This window comes from Homo sapiens, chromosome 8 (genome assembly GCF_000001405.40).
Source record: "Homo sapiens chromosome 8, GRCh38.p14 Primary Assembly".
NCBI lineage: Eukaryota > Metazoa > Chordata > Mammalia > Primates > Hominidae > Homo > Homo sapiens.
Genome location: NC_000008.11, coordinates 79,965,643 through 79,986,741, shown reverse-complemented (window position 1 = coordinate 79,986,741; position 21,099 = coordinate 79,965,643). Strand labels below are relative to the sequence as shown.

Genomic DNA, 21,099 nt, shown 5'->3' with positions numbered 1-21,099 from the left:
CCTTGAAGAGGTCCTTCACATCCCTTGTAAGTTGGATTCCTAGGTATTTTATTCTCTTTGAAGCAATTGTGAATGGGAGTTCACTCATGATTTGGCTCTCTGTTTGTCTGTTATTGGTGTATAAGAATGCTTGTGATTTTTGCACATTGATTTTGTATCCTGAGACTTTGCTGAAGTTTCTTATCAGCTTAAGGAGATTTTGGGCTGAGACAACGGGGTTTTCTAGATATACAATCATGTCATCTGCAAACAGGGACAAGTTGACTTCCTCTTTTCCTAATTGAATACCCTTTATTTCCTTCTCCTGCCTAATTGCCCTGGCCAGAACTTCCAACACTATGTTGAATAGGAGTGGTGAGAGAGGGCATCCCTGCCTTGTGCCAGTTTTCAAAGGGAATGCTTCCAGTTTTTGCCCATTCAGTATGATATTGACTGTGGGTTTTTCATAGATAGCTCTTATTATTTTGAGATACATCCCATCAATACCTAATTTATTGAGTTTTTAGCATGAAGGGTTGTTGATTTTTGTCAAAGGCCTTTTCTGCATCTATTGAGATAATCAAGTGGTTTTTGTCTTTGGTTCTGTTTATATGCTGGATTACATTTATTGATTTGAGTATATTGAACCAGCCTTGCATCCCAGGAATGAAGCCTACTTGATCATGGCAGATAAGCTTTTTGATGTGCTACTGGATTCAGTTTCCCAGTATTTTATTGAGGATTTTTGCATCAATGTTCATCAAGGATATTAGTCTAAAATTCTCTTTTTTGGTTGTGTCTCTGCCAGGCTTTGGTATCAGGATGATGCTGGCCTCATAAAATGAGTTAGGGAGGATTCCCTCTTTTTCTATTGATTGGAATAGTTTCAGAAGGAATGGTACCAGTTCCTCCTTGTACCTCTGGTAGAATTCGGCTGTGAATCCATCTGGTCCTGGACTCTTTTTGGTTGGTAAGCTATTGATTATTGCCACAATTTCAGAGCCTGTTATTGGTCTATTCAGAGAGTCAACTTCTTCCTGGTTTAGTCTTGGGAGGTTGTATGTGTCGAGGAATTTATCCATTTCTTCTAGATTTTCTAGTTTATTTGCGTAGAGGTGTTTATAGTATTCTCTGATGTTAGTTTGTATTTCTGTGGGATCGGTGGTGATATCCCCTTTATCATTTTTTATTGCGTCTATGTGATTCTTCTCTCTTTTCTTCTTTATTAGCCTTGCTAGCGGTCTATCAATTTTGTTGATCCTTTCAAAAAACCAGCTCCTGGATTCATTAATTTTTTGAAGGGTTTTTTGTGTCTCTATTTCCTTCAGTTCTGCTCTGATTTTAGTTATTTCTTGCCTTCTGCTAGCTTTTGAATGTGTTTGCTCTTGCTTTTTTAGTTCTTCTAATTGTGATGTTAGGGTGTCCATTTTGGATCTTTCCTGCTTTCTCTTGTGGGCATTTAGTGCTATAAATTTCCCTCTACACACTGATTTGACTGTGTCCCAGAGATTCCGGTATGTTGTGTCTTTGTTCTTGTTGGTTTCAAAGAACATCTTTATTTCTGCCTTCATTTCGTTATGTACCCAGTAGTCATTCAGGAGCAGGTTGTTCAGTTTCCATGTAGTTGAGCGGTTTTGAGTGAGTTTCCTAATCCTGAGTTGTAGTTTGATTGCACTGTGGTCTGAGAGACAGTTTGTTATAATTTCTGATCTTTTACATTTGCTGAGGAGAGCTTTACTTCCAACTATGTGGTCAATTTTGGAATAGGTGTGGTGTGGTGCTGAAAAAAATGTATATTCTGTTGATTTGGGGTGGAGAATTCTGTAGATGTGTATTAGGTCCGCGTGGTGCAAAGCTGAGTTCAATTCCTGGGTATCCTTATTAACTTTCTGTCTCATTGATCTGTCTAATGTTGACTGTGGGGTGTTAAAGTCTCCCATTATTATTGAGTGGGAGTCTAAGTCTCTTTGTAGGTCACTCAGGACTTGCTTTATGAATCTGGGTGCTCCTGTATTGGGTGCACATATATTTAGGATAGTTAGCTCTTCTTGTTGAATTGATCCCTTTACCATTATGTAATGGCCTTCTTTGTCTCTTTTGATCTTTGTTGGTTTAAAGTCTGTTTTATCAGAGACTAGGATTGCAACCCCTGCCTTTTTTTGTTTTCCATTTGCTTGGTAGATCTTCCTCCATCCCTTTATTTTGAGCCTATGTGTGTCTGTGCACATGAGATGGGTCTCCTGAATACAGCGCACTGATGGGTCTTGACTCTTTATCCAATTTGCCAGTCTGTGTCTTTTAATTGGAGCATTTAGTCCATTTACATTTAAGGTTAATATTGTTTTGTGTGAATTTGATCCTGTCATTATGATGTTAGCTGGTTGTTTTGCTCGTTAGTTGATGCAGTTTCTTCCTAGCCTCGATGGTCTTTACAATTTGGCATGATTATGCAGTAGCTAGTACTGGTTGTTCCTTTCCATGTTTAGTGCTTCCTTCAGGAGCTCTTTTAGGGCAGGCCTGGTGGTGACAAAATCTCTCAGCATTTGCTAGTCTGTAAAGGATTTTATTTGTCCTTCACTTATGAAGCTTAGTTTGGCTGGATATGAACTTCTGGGTTGAAAATTCTTTTCTTTAAGAATGTTGAATATTGGCCCCCACTCTCTTCTGGCTTGTATAGTTTCTGCCAAGAGATCCGCTGTTAGTCTGATGGCCTTCCCTTTGTGGGTAACCCGACCTTTCTGTCTGGCTGCCCTTAACATTTTTTCCTTCATTTCAACTTTGGTGAATCTGACAATTATGTGTCTTGGAGTTGCTCTTCTCGAGGAGTATCTTTGTGGCGTTTTCTGTATTTCCTGAATCTGAATGTTGGCCTGCCTTGCTAGATTGGGGAAGTTCTCCTGAATAATATCCTGCAGAGTGTTTTCCAACTTGGTTCCATTCTCCCCGTCACTTTCAGGTACACCAATCAGACATAGATTTGGTCTTTTCACATAGTCCCATATTTCTTGGAGGCTTTGTTCGTTTCTCTTTATTCTTTTTTCTCTAAACTTCCCTTCTCACTTCATTTCATTCATTTCATCTTCCATCACTGATACCCTTTCTTCCAGTTGATCGCATCAGCTCCTGAGGCTTCTGCATTCTTCACGTAGTTCTCGAGCCTTGGCTTTCAGCTCTGTCAGCTCCTTTAAGCACTTCTCTGTATTGGTTATTCTAGTTATACATTCGTCTAAATTTTTTTCAAAGTTTTCAACTTCTTTGCCTTTGGTTTGGGTTTCCTCCTGTAGCTCGGAGTAGTTTGATCGTCTGAAGCCTTCTTCTCTCAACTCGTCAAAGTCATTCTCCGTCCAGCTTTGTTCCGTTGCTGGTGAGGAGCTGCGTTCCTTTGGAGGAGGAGAGGCGCTCTGCTTTTTAGAGTTTCCAGTTTTTCTGCTCTGTTTTTTCCCCATCTTTGTGGTTTTATCTACTTTTGGTCTTTGATGATGGTGATGTACAGATGGGTTTTTGGTGTGGATGTCCTTTCTGTTTGTTAGTTTTCCTTCTAACAGGCAGGACACTCAGCTGCAGGTCTGTTGGAGTTTGCTAGAGGTCCACTCCAGACCCTGTTTGCCTGGGTACCAGCAGCGGTGGCTGCAGAACAGTGGATTTTCTTGAACCGTGAATGCTGCTGTCTGATCGTTCCTCTGAAAGTTTTGTCTCAGAGGAGTACCTGGCCGTGTGAGGTGTCAGTCTGCCCCTACTGGGGGGTGCCTCCCAGTTAGGCTGCTCGGGGGTCGGGGGTCAGGCGTCAGGGACCCACTTGAGGAGGCAGTCTGCCTGTTCTCAGATCTCCAGCTGTGTGCTGGGAGAACCACTGCTCTCTTCAAAGCTGTCAGACAGGGACATTTAAGTCTGCAGAGGTTACTGCTGTCTTTTTGTTTGTCTGTGCCCTGCCCCCAGAGGTGGAGCCTACAAAGGCAGGAAGGCCTCCTTGAGCTGTGTTGGGCTCCACCCAGTTCGAGCTTCCCGGCTGCTTTGTTTACCTAAGCAAGCCTGGGCAATGGCGGGTGCCCGTCCCTCAGCCTCGCTGCCGCCTTGCAGTTTGATCTCAGACTGCTGTGCTAGCAATCAGCGAGACTCCGTGGGTATAGGACCCTCCGAGCCAGGTGCAGGATATAATCTCCTGGTGCGCCGTTTTTTAAGACCGTCGGAAAAGCGCAGTATTAGGGTGGGAGTGACCCCATTTTCCAGGTGCTGTCTGTCACCCCCTTCTTTGACTAGGAAAGGGAACTCCCTGACCCCTTGTGCTTCCCGAGTGAGGCAATGCCTCGCCCTGCTTCGGCTCACGCACGGTGCGCTGCAACCACTGTCCTGCGCCCACTGTCTGGCACTCCCCAGTGAGATGAACCCAGTACCTCAGATGGAAATGCAGAAATCACCCGTCTTCTGCGTCGCTCATGCTGGGAGCTGTAGACCGGATCTGTTCCTATTTGGCCATCTTGGCTCCACCATCTCTTTCTTTTCTTTTCTTTTCTTTTTTGAGATGGAGTCTCACTCAGTTGCCCAGGCTGGAATGCAGTGGTGCGATCTTGACTCACTGCAACCTCTGCCTCCTGGGTTCAAGCAATTCTCCTGCCTCAGCTTCCTGAGTAGCTGGGATTACAGGCATCCGCCACCATGCTCACCTAATTTTTGTACTTTTAGTAGAGATGGGGTTTCACCATGTTGGCCAGGCGGGTCTTGAATTTCTGACCTCAAGTGATCCACCTGCCTTGGCCCCCCCAAAGTGCTGGGATTACAGGCATGAGCCACTGCACCCTGCCCAGAGCCTTAACTTTGGACCTAAAATAGAATACTTCGTGTTCCTTTAGAAAAATGCAAATTAGATATCAAATAGGTATAATTAAATCCTTAATTAGAACTGATTGAGCATATTATAATGTTCATGTGGATTTTATGCTACTCTCTGTCATTTTTGAATTTATTAAGCAAACCAATCCTTCCTTGATGTGATTTCCTTGAAAGCATTTCTTTTATATCTACTTATAGTAGTGTCAACTCTTTGTTATGCTATACCTCTTTCAGTGTGGAAGATACGATTTTAAGTTACTCGGCTTCCAAAATATATTGCTGTAAACGTACATATTTTCAGACTCAGCATTTTTACTAGAGTTAGTCTTACCTCAAAACTTCTATTTTACTTACCATTCTGTTTCAGTTTTTATTTTACTTTTTTTATTTACTAGAATGATAATACATCATATTAGTTTGAAAGTTAACAGCTAAACACAAACTCTTTAAATCTCAAAATCTATTTGAGAAACTAAATATCTTTCCTAACTGCAATTGCAAATATTTTAGTTTGCCTGTTTCCTGAACGTAATTTATTTAGAAACTTTAATTTTGAATTTAGCTTGTTTTTTAAATACTGTGTCTTCAGCATGTTTTTGTTTTTGTTTTTTAAGACAGGGTGTCGCTGTGTTGCCCAGGCTGGAGTGCAGTGATCACAGCTCACCACAACCTCCACCTCCTGGGTTCAAGCGATTCACCCACCTCAGCCCTGCAAGTAGCTGGGACTACAGGTGCATGCCACCATGCCCAGCAAATTTTTGTATTTTTTTGTTGAGACAGAGTTTCACCACATTGCCCAGGCTCATCTTGAACTCCTGAACTCAAGCAATCTGCCAGCTTCGGCCTCCCAGAGTGCTGGGTTTACAGGTGTGAGCCACTGCGCCCGACCCAGCATGAATTTTTAAAGCTCTTTGTTTCATTTATTTCACTGAAGAGGACATCTGAAGTTTGAAGCAAAGCATTCCAAAAGTAAAGTTTAGCATATGTTGATTTGTGATATGAATTCTATTATTAATAGTAATGGTAGTGATGGTGACGATGGTGTTGATGACTGGTAGCAGCAGCAGCATCTTCCTAATGTTTTAAATTGTTATTAAATTTTCCCTCCAAAGGAATCTTAAGTCACTTTAAGAAAATCAACATGTGCTGCATATTTTGGAGAAAATAATTTTTAAATGTCCGGCATAGTGCCTTGCAGAGTATAAGTTCACAATAAATACTCATTGCTTACTTTTTTGATGGACAAGAGTCACCAAGTCATTTACCTATTGGTAGGGTGTTTCAATTATTGGTTGAATATACTGTTCTTAGTTCCTTTGGTGTTACAAAGGGATGAAGTTAACCTCCAGTGAAGAGGCTGTAGTAACCTGTTTTAGTGAAGAAATGAGAGCCATTTCAATTTTAAGAAAAATAAAATCAATGTCAAACAAAATCAATGTCAAATTAAATGAGAATTTATTGTTTTCTAGATTTGAAAACTATAGGGCATTTTCTGCCTGTTCTTGTCTTCATAGTTGGCTATGTTGTCATAATCATTATAGCCAACATTTATTAGCTGTTAAGTCTTAATTGTACTCAGTCACTTTTCTAAGCATAATACTAGTTAAGATCATGGCCTTGGAAAGATTTCTGGATTTGAATCCTGGCTCTACTCCTAACTAATTGTGTGATCTTAGGCAAGTTGCTTAACTTTGGAGCCTTAATTTTCTTGTCTTTAAAGTGGTTGAAGATAGTACTTACCCCCAAAGTGCTATCAAAGTACTGGTTGGTGTGAGAATTAAAGTTGTCATCATTATCACAACAGCTGGCATTATTGAACCTTTTCTATGTGTCAGACAGATACTATGCTTTACATACGTCTTACTAGCATCACCCTTATTTAATAGATGAGGAAGGTGATTCTCAGAATTTGTGACTTTCCAAATCATTTAGACTTGTGTCAATTGCAAATAGCAGAAAACTTGTCTACTTGTGGCTTAAAAAGATAGAGACTTTTTTTTTTTTTTTTTTTTTTTTTTTTGCGTGAGAATCCTGAATGTTAGTGGCTACTGGGGTTGTTTTAGCAGCTTGACAATGCTTTATGCTTTAACATCAACATGAGGCTTGGGGCTTCTTGAGTCATGCATGGTACAGTAAGGCTGCTGATTCTACAGACCACATGTCTGTGTTTAAGGGAGGAAGAGAATGGGAAGGAAGAGATTGGGGAGGGCAGGTAGTTTTCATAAGGGTAGTTAAAAAGCAGACCTGGGATGAGTGCAGTGGCTCACACCTGTAATCCCAGCATTTTGGGAGGCTGAGGCAGGAGGATTTCTTGAGCCCGGAAGGTTGCAGCTGGAGTGAGCTGTGTTTGTGCCACTGCACTTCAGCCTGGGTGACAGAGTAAGACCCTGTCTCACAAGAAGAAATAAATAAGTAAAAAAATTTCTTTTAAAATTTATTTTTTATTTTTTTGTCCCTTTTACCAGGAAAACAAAAGCTGCCAGACTTCAGTTTTCATTTAATTGGTCAGACCTATACAACATATCTAGCTTCTCCCTAACTGCAGGGAAGGCTCTGAAAATCAGTGTTTAACTTTTTCATTGTGGCTGCTTCAGGTGAGAAGGAGACTGGGAATATAACTCTTGTGTCACCTAGCCAGTGGGTTCTGCTGCTGTGCCTGAGCTCCCACCACTATTAAGTGGCAAAGCTGGAATTCTAACTCAGATGTCTCTTCCTCCAAAGTCCTAATTCTCCAGTTCTGCCTCTCAAAGAATAAAGGCTCCCGTATTATAAAGATTTGAATGAACATTATCCAGCATCTACAGATAGGTACAGTTTTTTTCTTGAAATTTTTCCCTTTTCAAAATAAAAAATTTTATTTACCTTTTTAGGCTGGCTGTATTTTGAAAGTATAGGTTATGTGTTCCTGTCTTCAACTAAAGATACAAAACAACACAAAAAATTAGTGACTGAATGTATTTTATATTAGAAATGACTACTAAGATATGTTTGTTTCAGAGAATTTCTGATAACACTTTTCAACTTTCAATAGTGAAAAAAAATACATCATTAAAGTAATATGTTCTTGCCTCTTTCCATTCTGATTACTACATTTTAACTCATGTAAAATGAGTTTGTTCTATGCTCATTTCCTAAGGGGTGGTTATCCACTGATTTCATTTTCTGGAAAATAAAATTATGTCACAATTCTTGGAAACTGCGTATTTATTTATTTATTTTGTTTTGTTTTTGTAGAGATGGGGGTGGAGTGAAGAGTGGGTAAAATTAAGATCATAATCCAAATTCTCTTTTCAATTGTCAAAAATATAACCATAGCTTACTCTTATATCCTGTCTTTTTTCAAGGATAAATATAGTAATGCTCTAAGTTAGGAAACATTATCCACAGTTTTTAGACAAGGAAACTGAGACCTAGAGAAGGTATGAAATATATGCAAAGTCGTGAGCTAGTACACAGTAGAGTTTTGTATTGAAGCCTGATCTGATCCACAATGCATGGTGAAGATGAAATCCTGATCAGTCTGTCACTTCGGACAGATTCTTATCTTCCTAGTTGTTTTAAACTACTTAGATTACATGTTTATCAGGGAAAAAAAAAATACAACTGTCACTTTCTAAAAATTTTAACATCTTTTTGTTGCAATAATCTTTTGTAAAAGAATTAAAAAACATTAAGTATAAGCCTAGTTCACCTTAGCCCACACTTTGCAATTTGTTTCACCCTATCACTTTACTGTTAAGTATTATCAAGTAATATTTAATTAAGTTCACTTAAATTCAGCCACACCATTGTCAACCATAAGCTGTCAGTCTCTAATAAATAGATGGACTGTTCTTATATTGTCTTTCCTAATCTGAATTCCAAAGCATGTCTTTTTAACTAATTACATTATGATGTGATCTGTCTACATTTCTATTTTCATATTTATTTTTTTAAATTGGATAATTAACCAAGCAAATAGTTCTAGTTGCATTTTTTGTAAGAAAAAGGGAAATAGGAAAAAGAAGTATTTATATATCATAAATATAAAATATGGTGTTTTTACATTAAAATTCTATTTATGCAAGTGTTTCTTCCTATACATATATCTTTATGTATTATTATTATTATTATTATTATTTGAGACAGTCTCACTCTGTCACCCAGGCTGTAGTATAGTGCTGCAATCTCAGCTCACCACAACCTCCGCCTCCCGGGTTCAAGCAATCCTCCCACCTCAGTCCCCCAAGTAGTTGGAACTGTAGGCATCCACCACCACACCTGGCTAATTTTTGTATTTTTTGTAGAGATGGGATTTCGCCATGTTGGCCAGGCAGGTCTCGAACTCCTGGTCTCAAGTGATCTGCCTACCTTGGCCTCCCAAAGTGCTGGGATTGCAGGTGACAGCCACTGTGCTTCGCCTGTATTCTTTTGTTTATTATAAAAATAATTTATTGATCAAAGGAAACTTAATTAATTCTGTTGGTCTCTTCATTTTAGATTAAAGCTTTAAATCATTTGTTTATTCTATGTATTGATCACTGAGCTGTCAAAGTTGATATTTTTCAGTGATCAAGCCAAATTAGTAAAATTGGATTTATGTCGATATTTCTGTTATTATTATTTTTTGGTTTCAATTTGTAAAACTAATGCATTTTCATAAAGAAGCTGTGGGAAATTCTCTAAGTATTTAAATTTTAAAATACTCATTTAAATGAGTATTTAATGAGCTCCACCACTCATTTTAGTACATTTGCCTCCAATCTTTTCAGCTACAGATTTCTGTTTTGTTTGTACATAATATGGTTTTAATCATACTCTCTATAATTTTGAATATTGAGCTTCTCACTGAAGTTTATTGTGTAGCATTTTTTTCATTATGAAGGATGCACTATATATCATTGAATATATCATAATTTCTTCAGGCATTCCTGTTTATTAGGTAGGTTGTTACTACTTTTTCACTCTTACAAATGACACAGTCTGGAACATCTCTGTGGTTAAGACTTCTAGGATTATTTCCTGAGGAAAGATTAAGTGGAGCAAGTAGGCTTAAAGGTTATTAATATTTTTCAGGTTTATGTAAACAGATTGAGCATTAAGATTGTTCATCTTTTTATTTGAAAAATATCATTTTATTTTAAAAGTAATTTAAGCTGATTGCAAAATACAAATTCAAATGAAGGAAAAAAACAATTATCACCAAGTGAAACATTTTCTTTTTGTTTTTCTTTTCTTTTCCTTTTGTTTTGAGACAGAGTCTCACTCTGTTGCCCAGACTGGAGTGCAGTGGCGCGATCTCAGCTCATTGCAACCATCACCTCCCTGGTTGAAGCAATCCTCCCACCTCAGCCTCCCGTGTAGTTGGGGCTACAGGTGCATGACACCATGCCCAGCTAATTTTTTGTATTTTTAGTAGAGCTAGGGTTTCGCCATGTTGCCCAGACTGGTCTTGAACTCTTGGACTTAAGAGATCCGTCTACCTTGGCCTCTCAATGTGCTGGGATTATGGGCATGAGCCATGGAACTCAGCCAGCATTTTTATATATATGTTTTAAAAAAGGTTCTTAACAAGGCCGGGTGCGGTGGCTCACGCCTGTAATCCCAGCACTTTGGGAGGCCGAGGCAGGCAGATCACCTGAGGTCAGGAGTTTGAGACCAGCCTGATCAACATGGAGAAACCCTGTCTCTACTAAAAATACAAAATTAGCTGGGCTTGGTGGCACATGCCTGTAATCCCAGCTACTTGGGAGGCTGAGACAGGAGAATTGCTTGAACCCGGGAGGCAGAGGTTGCAGTGAGCTGAGATTGCGCCATTGCACTCCAGCCTGGACAACAATAGCAAAACTTGGTCTGGAAAAAAAAAAAAAAGATTCTTAACAACAACAGAAATCTGCCAGTATTTTTGCATACTGCCTCATAAGTAGGTCTTCCCCCGCCTTCCCAAATAAACATATGTCAGGGCCAGCTAACTATGTCATAAACAAAATTGTTAAAGACTGCATAGCATTTTACTACTACAACTTCTTTAACTAATTCCCTGTTAATATATATTGATGTTGTTTTCAGTTTTTATTATTTTTATCTGTATATAGATTTTGGTATAACTATCTGATTATTTCCTTATAATAAATTATTTAGAGTGGAGGAACTGGATAGGTTGGTTGTACATTCTTTAAAGATTTATACACATTCTCAAATTTCCAAAGTAACTGTCTCTCTCCAACACTAGGTGTTTTTTTTTCATCTTGCCAATCTAATAAGCAAAAGTTATTACATTATTGATTTAATTTGCACTTTTGATGACTAGCAATGTTGAACGTTTGGCCGTTTATTTAATTCTTAAATGAATTTTGTACTCCAGAGTCATTGGCCTGTTCTGGTTGCTCATTAGTCTTTTGTATTTATCACTTTCTTGTTAGTTTATACTCTTTGTTGTAACTGTTAAAAAAAATTTACTCCAGTTTGTTGTTGATTACTTTGCCATACAAAATTTTTGTATTATGTAATTCATTTGCCTTTTTCTTTTATAATTTCTGGTTTGGGTACCATACTTACATACTTACAAAGGCTTTTGCCTTTGTAAAAGTAGTGGTCTGTGTTTCTCTCTAGTATTTTATAGTTGTATATTTCAGTGTTAATTAATTAATTATCTTTTCCAAGGCAGGGTCTTGCTCTGTTGCCCAGGCTGGAGTGCAGTAGCATGACCACAGCTCACTGCAGCCTCAACCTCCCAAGCTCAAGTGATTCTCCCACCTCAGCCCTTCAAGTAGCTGGGACTACAGGTGCATGCCACCACACCTGGCTAATTTTTGTACATTTTTCTGTAGAGATGGGGTGGGGGTTGTCTCACTATGTTTCCCAGGCTGATGTTGAAATCCTGGGCTCAGCCAGTCCTCTTGTCTTGACCTCCCAAAGTGCTGGGATTATACGTGTGAGCTACTGTGCCTAGCCTTATTTATTTGAAATTACTTGAAATTTATTTTAGAATTAAGTCAGGATTCCTACTGCCCTCCGTAATAATAATAAAAAATGTAATATTTGTGAACTAATATTCATTTATTGAGCTTTTATTACCTAATTTTGTTGACTATGAGACAAACTTTTTTTTGTATTTTAGCCTGCCCTACCTCTTTGAAATTACTATTGGCCAGGTGACACTTAGGATGTAGTTTGTCATTGCCTGCCCGTATCTGAAGTTAGTCATGGTTGATTATATTATCATCATTTCCTATGAGCTTTATCCTTGAAAAACTGCACATCATAATTTATTGGGCCATTTTCAGCTTTTTTTAAAAATATGAAATAGAATAGAAAATACTAGGCTGTACCAAAATAGCAAGACTAGTGCTTTTGGGGAACATTTCATTTGTTTTTTTTTTGTTTTTTTATTTTGTTTTGTTTTGTTTTGTTTTTGAGACAGAGTCTCGCTCTGTCGCCCAGGCTGGAATATAGTGGCGAAATCTCGGCTCACTGCAAGCTCTGCCTCTCGGGTTCACGCCATTCTCCTTGCCTCAGCCTCCCGAGTAGCTGGGACTACAGGCGCCCACCACCACGCCTGGCTAATTTTTTGTATTTTTAGTAGAGACAAGGGGTCACCGTGTTAGCCAGGATGGTCTTGATCTCCTGACCTCGTGATCCATCCACCTCGGCCTCCCAAAGTTCTGGGATAACAGGCGTGAGCCACCGCGCCGGCCTCGTTTGTTTATATGTATATGTTTAGAAAGATTTCTATGAGGGTGCTAGTTATGATATAAACTGTTCTTTCTTCGGTGTACTGTCAAAAAGTTCATCAGCCACCATTGTCTGGAGATTAGTAAAGCTAAAGACAATTCTGGAAGATTTTAACTACCACTGAAAAGAAAGGGCAAATTTGCTGGTGCTGAAAATGTGATAAAAATTCAGATTTCTAGGCCAGGTGCAGTGGCTCATGCCTGTAATCCCAACACTTTGTGAGGCCGAGGATCATTTGAGGTCAGGAGTTTGAGATCAGCCTGGGCAACATAGCAAGACCCTTATCTCTAAAAAATAATAAAATAAGAGGTTTAGATTTCTATGCACGACCTACTTGTATCTGCTTAGATTCTTCACTTTCTTTCTTTCTTTTTTTTTTTTTTATTAATTTATTCCTGGCCCTTTTCTGTGAGAACTCGTTTTCTTTCTGTTTCTATTCACACTTTCCTCTTACCCACTTGTCTACCTGCTGCTGTTCCAAAGTTCTAGAGTCTCTGAGTGGCAGAAACACCCATGGGAGTTGCTGATACTTGGCCAAATTTTCTTTTAATCTCGACTTTACACTTACTAGTTGCCCCAACCTTCCTTTGTAGAAGGCACACCCTAGCTGGGCGTGGTGTTGCAGGCCTGTAGTTGTAGCTACTCCGGAGACTGAGGTGGGAAGATCTGTTGAGGCCAGGAATTTGAGGCTATAATGTGCTGGCTTTTTAATTTCATTATTTATTTATTTGGAGATGGGGGTGTGTCTTCATATGTTGCCCAGGCTGTGCTCAAGGGATTCTCCCACCTCAGCCTCCTGAGTAGCTAGGACTTCAGGCACACACCACTGCTCGTGGCTGAGGGTATGGTGTGGTATGATCAAACCTGTAAATAGCTACTGCACTCCAGCCTGTGCAACACAGTGAGATCCCAACTCTAAATATATGTACACACACACACTCTCTCTCTCTCTCTTTCACTGTGTTGAGAGTCCAACTCTAAATGTATATATATGAAGCTTATCCAGTAAATGGAAGCAGAACCCCTTGACATCCAGAATGTACAGTTGACTGCATTGTGTATAAAGTTGTTGTTCCCCAAATTGCTTATCATAAGCCCATTTGGACGATAACTCTTTGTTGTATGGTTATAGTGGCTAGCTTTCATTTTGTGTTCCAAACCAGTATACTGCATTTACTTTGCCCTGTTGAATACCTATCAATTTTGTATCTTAAAAATGTTTGTTTTCCTTCCAATGACTGAAAGTATGTAAAAATCACCTGGCAATAGATTTTAATTTGGTTTTTGAGAGCATTCAATCAATTTTTCCTTTTTAATTTATATTTAAGATCTCCCAATATTTTGAATGTTTGACATTTATCTATAGCCCTTGTGTGATATTTTGATATGATTTCAGCAATTAAGGAAATATTCACTATACTGTAATCCTTTGTAAAATAGCAATTTAAAGCTATCTTTCTCTGTTTCGAACTCTGAATCTGAGTTTTGTGTAGTGATAGTATGTGGTTTTTAAAAAACGTGTGTCAATATTTGGGTTTTTTTCTTCAGTTACCTGTTAACAGAAACTAAGGAATTTGTGATCTGATTGTTTTGATTTTAAAAGCAGGAACTTTTCGATGAGTGTGAATGTAAAATGGTGCAGTCATTTTCAAAGACAGTTTGGCAGTTCCCCAAGTGGTTAAACAGAGTTACTATATGATGCAGCAATTCCATTCCTACATATATACCTAAGAGAAATGAAATCAGATGTCGACTCAAAAACTTGTACACAGATGTTCATAGCAGCATTAGTCACGATAGCCAAAATGTGGAAACAATACAAGTGTCCATCGACTGCTGAATGGATAAACAAAATGGGGTATAGGTATCCTCAGTACCTGTGGGAGGATTAGTTCCAGGACCCCACAGACACCAAAATCCATGGTTGCTGAAGTCCCTTTAATAAAATGGCATAGTGCTTGGGTATACTTACACACATTCTCCTGTATACTTGAAATCATCTCTAGATTATTGATAATACCTAATATAAGATAAATTCTATGCAGATAATTTTATTTATATTTTGTTATATTTTTATTGGCTTTTATTCCTGAATATTTTCTATTTGTGGTTGACTGAATCTGCAGATGTAGAAATTGCAGATGTGGAACTTGCCTGTATGGAAATTGCAGATGTGGAACTTGCCATACAGTGGAATATTATTCAGCCATTAAAAAGTAATGGGGCTGGGCACAGTGGCTCACACCGGTAATCCCAGCACTTTGGGAGGCTGAGGCGGGCAGATCCTGAGGCAGGAGTTCAAGACCAGCCTGGCTTACATGGTGAAACCCCGTCTCTACTAAAAATACAAAAATTAGCCAGACGTGGTGGCGTGTCTCCCACCTGTAGTTCCAGCTACTTAGGAGGCTGAGGCAGGAGGATTGCTTGAACCCATGAGACAGAGGTTTCAGTGAGCTGAGATCGCACCACTGCACTCCAGCCTGGGTTGCAGAATAAAACTTCATTTCAAAAAAGAAAAAAAGGTAATGAAGTACTAAGACGTGATACAACATGTCTGAATCTTGAAAACATTATGCTCAGTGAAAGAAGCTGGTCACAAAGGACTACATATTGTATGATTCCTTGATATGAAATGTGCAGAATAGTCAAGTATGTAGAGACAGAAGATGGATTAGTGGTGACCTAGGGATGGGAAGATGGGAGGCAGTGGGTGGGGTAGGGGACATTTAAGGGAGTGATAGCTAAGGGAGTTTCTTTTGGGGGTGATACAAATGTTAAAAAATTGTGATGATGAATGCACAGCTGTTTTTAGTGACTATACCAAAAGCCATTGAATTGTTTATTTAAGTTAGTGAATTGTAGCACATGAATTATATTTTAATTAAAAAAACCTTTCTGTGTAAGAAAGATAGCTTGATAAGGGAGTCAAGAGACTCAGTTCTTTCTTTCTGTTCTGTTTGGTGAACTTGAGCAAGTCATGCACCCTTTTTAGTCCTCAGTCCCCATTGTCTGGTTGGTCTTAAAGAGCCTTCCCAACTCTAAAATCCATTATTTAAATTTTGAGGAAATGATCTGATTACAGCTGTCAACAAATATGCATTTAGACACACTGATTGCTCTTATTCAATGGTTTCCCAAATTGCTGGCATGCTGATTTGGTAGTACAAATCCTGCTGTCCTCCTCTCCCTTCTCGTGGCTTCTAAAGGAAAGTCCATTGTTTGTTTATATTAAAGGCGGCATTTTTCCAAAGTTACTATACAGTGCAATTCACCTAATTTCTTAGCCCAAACAATACATGTGGTGCCACTGAGTCTACTGTCAAATAGCTTTAGTTATTTCTTTATAAAACATGCTAAGAGTAACCCTTGTTACTGCAATGTTAGAGCATCTCAGCAAATAACCACAGACTTTATTTATAGCAATGTATGTTTTGGATTTATAACATTTTATCTCTTTGAGACCTAGTATATTATTTGCTTGGTTACTTTATAATTGTGATAGTTTCATGCCACCCACTGTAGGTTGTTCTGCAGTGGTTATTCCAACCACAAATTAAGGAGTTATTTTTCTGTGGTTCAGTAGTGCACAAGGATTATATTGCAAAAGTTGCTGGAGCCCAAGTTCTGTAAACAGTTTTTTTGGAAGAAGTCTTTGTCTAACAGACTGACTAGATTGTTGGTATTCAAAACAGGAGAGGACAGAATTTAGATGAGCAAAACATAACTTCTTGATGATAAAATTGTTGAACATTGTCCTATAAAATGTCAGGTAAGGAGTTTACCAACTATCCTCTGTGTTGGTATATGGCAGCAGCCCTTTCAGTAGGACAGAATTGCTCAAATAGCTAGAGAATTTTCTACATGTAGAGCACTGATTTTTAAAAAAATTCTTCTTGGGGTCTTGGGGCCCTGGAGAATACAGTATAGGCATGCAGTATTAAGGAGTTCACAGATTTCCCCCAATATACCCATTAACCTTTAGGTATCCTTGAATCTAGGTAAAAAAAACCCGTGATCTGGAGGTCAGATGCTATGGAAGCAAAATAGATTTACTCTTCTGGAGTCACTAATGGTGATAATTTGCAGGTGGAGCCATATGCACCTTATGTCAGTATAAAAGGTATACAAAGTATCATGGAACTTGTTGGAATATCGATGTTGTTCACATGATAAGTACTGTAGGAATGGCATCACACTTGAATGACTCTTTTGTTTATTGCTATATCCAAGCATGTATAATATTAGTTGCTCAATAAACACTTGAGTGAATGAATGCGTCCAAGGAGAAATGTGTTCTGCAGAAGAGCTGACTCCTGTTACCAGATTTCACTATATTTTGTTTCAATAGCTAATATTTCCAAAGCAAAATAAGAAAAACGGAAAATTACAGAAGATGCTCACTTTATATCTGAGCACCAATTTAGTTTTCCTGTTTACTTCTTACCTTACATAACCGTAATTTGCTTTCCTTTATTATTTTTAATTTATTTTTTTATTTTATAAATTTAAATTTATAGTGGGGTTTTGCTATTTTGCCCAGGCTGGTCTCAGACTCCTGGGCTCAAGCAATCCTCCTGCGTCAGCCTCTGTTTTCTTTTGTTACAGATGACCAGGTTTTTCCGTTACCCCATCTTTTCCATTTCAGATATGACTTTAGTAATAAAAGGCAGGATTTATAAAAAGTTTTTATTCTATTTCTAGTCATTTTAAAAGTCTACAGGATTTCTTGAGATATATTTTTGGCTAAAATTTTGGTTTTATAATAACAGGAATTTTGTTCTGTGAGATTTCTTTCTAGATTTTTCAGTTCTTTATACAGTTTTAATAGCCCAGAGCTATGTTTAATATTTTCTTTCTTCATTGAAATTCAAATAGTTGTCTAAGATTTCCAAATTGTTTCTTCCTATCAAGTGAATGACTTAAAAAGATAACCTAAGCCCTTCTCACATAAATGGCTTTTTTTCTTAAATAGGTTTAGTACATTATCCTCAGTCATCTTTTGAGGAGATGAAAATAAGTTCTGTTAAATTATTATTTTTTTCTTCATTTATGGTACCACAACTAACAAGGGGAACTCTTAAATTGACTGGCTTAATATAATAGACTTGTTCATAGTCTAAGGGACAGGAATAACTCTTAAACACGAAGCTAATATTTAAGGATCATTTGCTAGGGTCTGAGCAACTGTTTTTTGTACATTAACTCATTAACCCTTAGAATTTATATTGGACACACACTGTTATTATTCCCATTTTCAGTGAAGGCAGCTAAGGCACAGAGACCAATTAACTTGTCCAAGTACACATGTTACTCACTGACTTATTAGAAATTATCAGAGCCTAGATTCAAACATTTGCAATCTAGTTGCAGAACCTGTGTTCTTAATGGCCACACTATACTGTCTCTTCAACTCTGTAATCAAGAGGGAATGAATAAATGCTAGAGGCAGTCAAGGAAAGCTTCACAGAGTAGGTGACAATTGAACTGATTCTTTTTTTTTTTTTTTAGACAGAGTCTCACTCTGTCCCAGAATGAGTAGAAGTTCCCTAAGGCGAGAGAGGAGAAGAAGGCAGATATATAGATACCTGACAGTCTTAAAGGGCATAATGTGTTGTGAGAAAGGTTGAGAAGGGAAAGTTGCAGGGGCTGAGACTAGAAAATGGTTGGAATCAGATTGTGAATTGACTTGTGTTCTATTCAGGGAGTCTGGACTTTATATTATAGAACAGTGGCTCTGTAACACAGATACAAAGATTGATGCTGGACAGGTTACTAGAATCAAATGGGAAGTTTGTTAAAAAGACAAATTTCTAAGCCCCATTCTAGGAGATTCTGATTGAGAAAATCTAGGATGAGGGCCAGAAATTTATGTGGTTCTGATGTGCACTTATGTTTGGGACCTCTGCTGTAGCCTGTGACGAACTTACTAGAGACTTATAAGCAGGGATGTGACAAGGACAGGATCTTGCTTTAAAGTAGAAATTATGGAAATTGAAGCTAGTACAAAATATATTGGAGATTTGGAGGCAGGGCAGTCATTTAGGAGGCTATTGCAAAAATTTAGAAAAGAGATATAATAAGACAAATTAAGACCGTGGTATTGTTGATGAAATGGAAGGAACCAATTGAAAAGGTATTTTGGAGTAAGAATTGATAAGTAAATAAGCAGGAAGGAGATAGGGAAGAGAAAGGGTTATGCTAGAATTTATAGGTTGAGCAAATGGGTGGATTAATCATGCATTATTTTGCCATACTCACTTTTGATTATTTAAATCTGTACATTCAAGATAATGTAAATAGTATGTATCAGTTATATGATATATACACATATATTAATAGTATATATACATATACTAATAGCATGTATCAGTTGTATACTTGGCAGCTTCTGTTCAGATGTGACCCGTCAGCTTCTTGGGGCAGTGCTGGCCACACGTCTCTTTGCTGTACAGTCTTTTGCTACTTGAGGAAATCTACCCTCCACACCTTTGTCCAGTGCCAAATAGTATCACTTTCCCTACACAAAGCCCCAGGCAATGCCGTCCATCTTGATTATTCAACTTGACACCTGTCTAACAGGCATAGGGTGGTGTTAGGATTCCATCAGAAAGCACGTTGCACACACGTAGCACATGTTGCTTGCTGATACACCTATGCCATTTCTTGCTCACAACAAAACCTTTTACTACCCCTTGCTACCCAAGCAGTGGTCAGTGGGAAACTATGTGGCCTTTTCCACCTAGCCACAGCTGATTAGACGAGAACAGACATCTGAACAAAGCTGGAACCAATCCAAGTCCCCTGGAATTGGGAATTGGGAACAGGAGAAAGAGAATTAGTCTCTTAACATGTCTGGGGCTTTAACTTGTAAATTTCAGGGCTTTGAGTAGCCATATTATATGCCATGCAGACTAGAGAACAGAGAAAGCTGATCCAAAGAAAGAAGAAGCATGCAGACATGTGGAGAGAAAAGAGCTGAGGAGAGTGAGTGAGTGAGTGAATGAATGTCATTGTCTGTGTTTCTTTTAACTTCTCAGTTTCTAGGAGCCAAGACTCAATATCCATACACTAATACTTCCTGCTCTCATTCTCTTTCTTGCCTGTTGTCAAAAGATATGCTACTAGGATATGTTGTTAGCCATACTAGGCCTACAATTTTTGAAGTGTTTGACCTTAGATAGGAACTACTCAAATCAAGATTGCTTTTAAATGTGTGTATGCAGTTACTCAACAGTTTAAAAAAATGATATGTGAATTGGGGTCAAAGAATCATAAATACTTTTAGGATGGAAAATTTTAAGATGTCAAACTGACTCAAACAATTTATACCTTGGAATAGCCCGGCCAGAGAAGATTATTCATAAGTATAAAGTGAGATAGAACAGGTTTATTATCATGAAAAAATACTGGTCACTTTTTTATACATAGCATACATGATTATGAACTGTGCTAATTGAGTATTCTATGAATGACAAAAGCACTAAAGCCAGACGAACTACAGGCAATTAAATAAATTAATTCACAAGAATTAAAGTGCTTTTTAAGATTATATCATGCTGTTATATCGTTCATGTGAAAAACTGTGCCAATTTTTCACGTACTTTTTCATACCGTTTTCTAGATTCCATTATTTTTTGACTGATGAGTTACATAGAAATACCTTTTAAATTTTCAAAGAAATGAGAATTATTATTGATTTCTAGCATAATTGTATTGAGAGCAGAGAAAGTGACTCCAGTTTTTCAAATTTGTTAAAACTTACTTTTTTGACCAGTGTTTGGTCAACTTGTGTAAATGTACCATTTATAAAATCATTACGATGGTGGATTTGTCTTTGCTGCTAGTAATTATTTTAATTTTTGCTTTTATATATTTTGAGGCTGTTTTACTACTTTCATGCAAGTTTAGAATTTTCATATTCTAGGCAACTTTATTCTGCTTTTTATTATATATTGACCCTTTATATATCTATAATGTTAAAACAAGCTCACTCAAGTTCTGCAAAACCCAGCTTCAGTGTTCTGTTTATTTTTTGATTTGTAGCTCTTTTCTTTTTTCTGCCTTTCTATAATCATTCCTAAACTGCTGACTCAATAATAGAATTAAAGAAAATATTTTTGTTATTTTAACCATTATGTTTCTTTCTTTTTAGGAGAACCTTTGGTCAATTTAGTCATTCTAACATACTGCTAGATATGGAAGTCTGTTACCTTTCTTTTTTAAAATCAGGATCATTCATGAATACTTACATATGTTCAGAAGCTCAGACTTTTAAGAATAAAATCAGAGCCTTATGAAATGAACTTTTAAAGAAGTACAAAATTTTACTTAATCAGCTGACATTGTTCTTGCTTGGTATTGATATTTAATTGACCGATACTGTGGAAGACTTAAGCATAGAGAGACATTCTGAAAGTTATCAAAACAATGGACATTTTTTTCTTCCTGTTATCACTTATATGCTTAAAGCATCTACTCTCAAAGCAGTTATTTTTTCATTAATTAATTTCTTTGCATTCTCAGAATCATTGCAGATATAATTAACATGTAAGATAAAATTCATAAGCGTGAAACTAATTA

General features: G+C 37.8%; 2 protein-coding genes across 2 annotated transcripts in view, besides 1 other annotated feature; both read left to right on the top strand.

Moving 5' to 3' along the window:
- The window catches only part of TPD52-MRPS28 (TPD52-MRPS28 readthrough), a 252,848-nt gene that overhangs the window by 184,823 nt on the left and 46,926 nt on the right, over positions 1 to 21,099 (top strand). The window lies entirely within an intron of this gene.
- Positions 1 to 21,099, top strand: part of MRPS28 (mitochondrial ribosomal protein S28) — a 111,543-nt gene that overhangs the window by 43,518 nt on the left and 46,926 nt on the right. The gene's annotated exons all lie outside the window — the stretch shown is intronic.
- Positions 4,171 to 4,736: an enhancer, noted in NCBI's record as "H3K27ac-H3K4me1 hESC enhancer chr8:80894241-80894806 (GRCh37/hg19 assembly coordinates)". NCBI's record gives its function as "activates a minimal SCP1, AML or CMV promoter by ChIP-STARR-seq in primed H9 embryonic stem cells {active_cell/tissue: H9 hESC(primed)}" and the evidence as "EXISTENCE:reporter gene assay evidence [ECO:0000049][PMID:30033119]".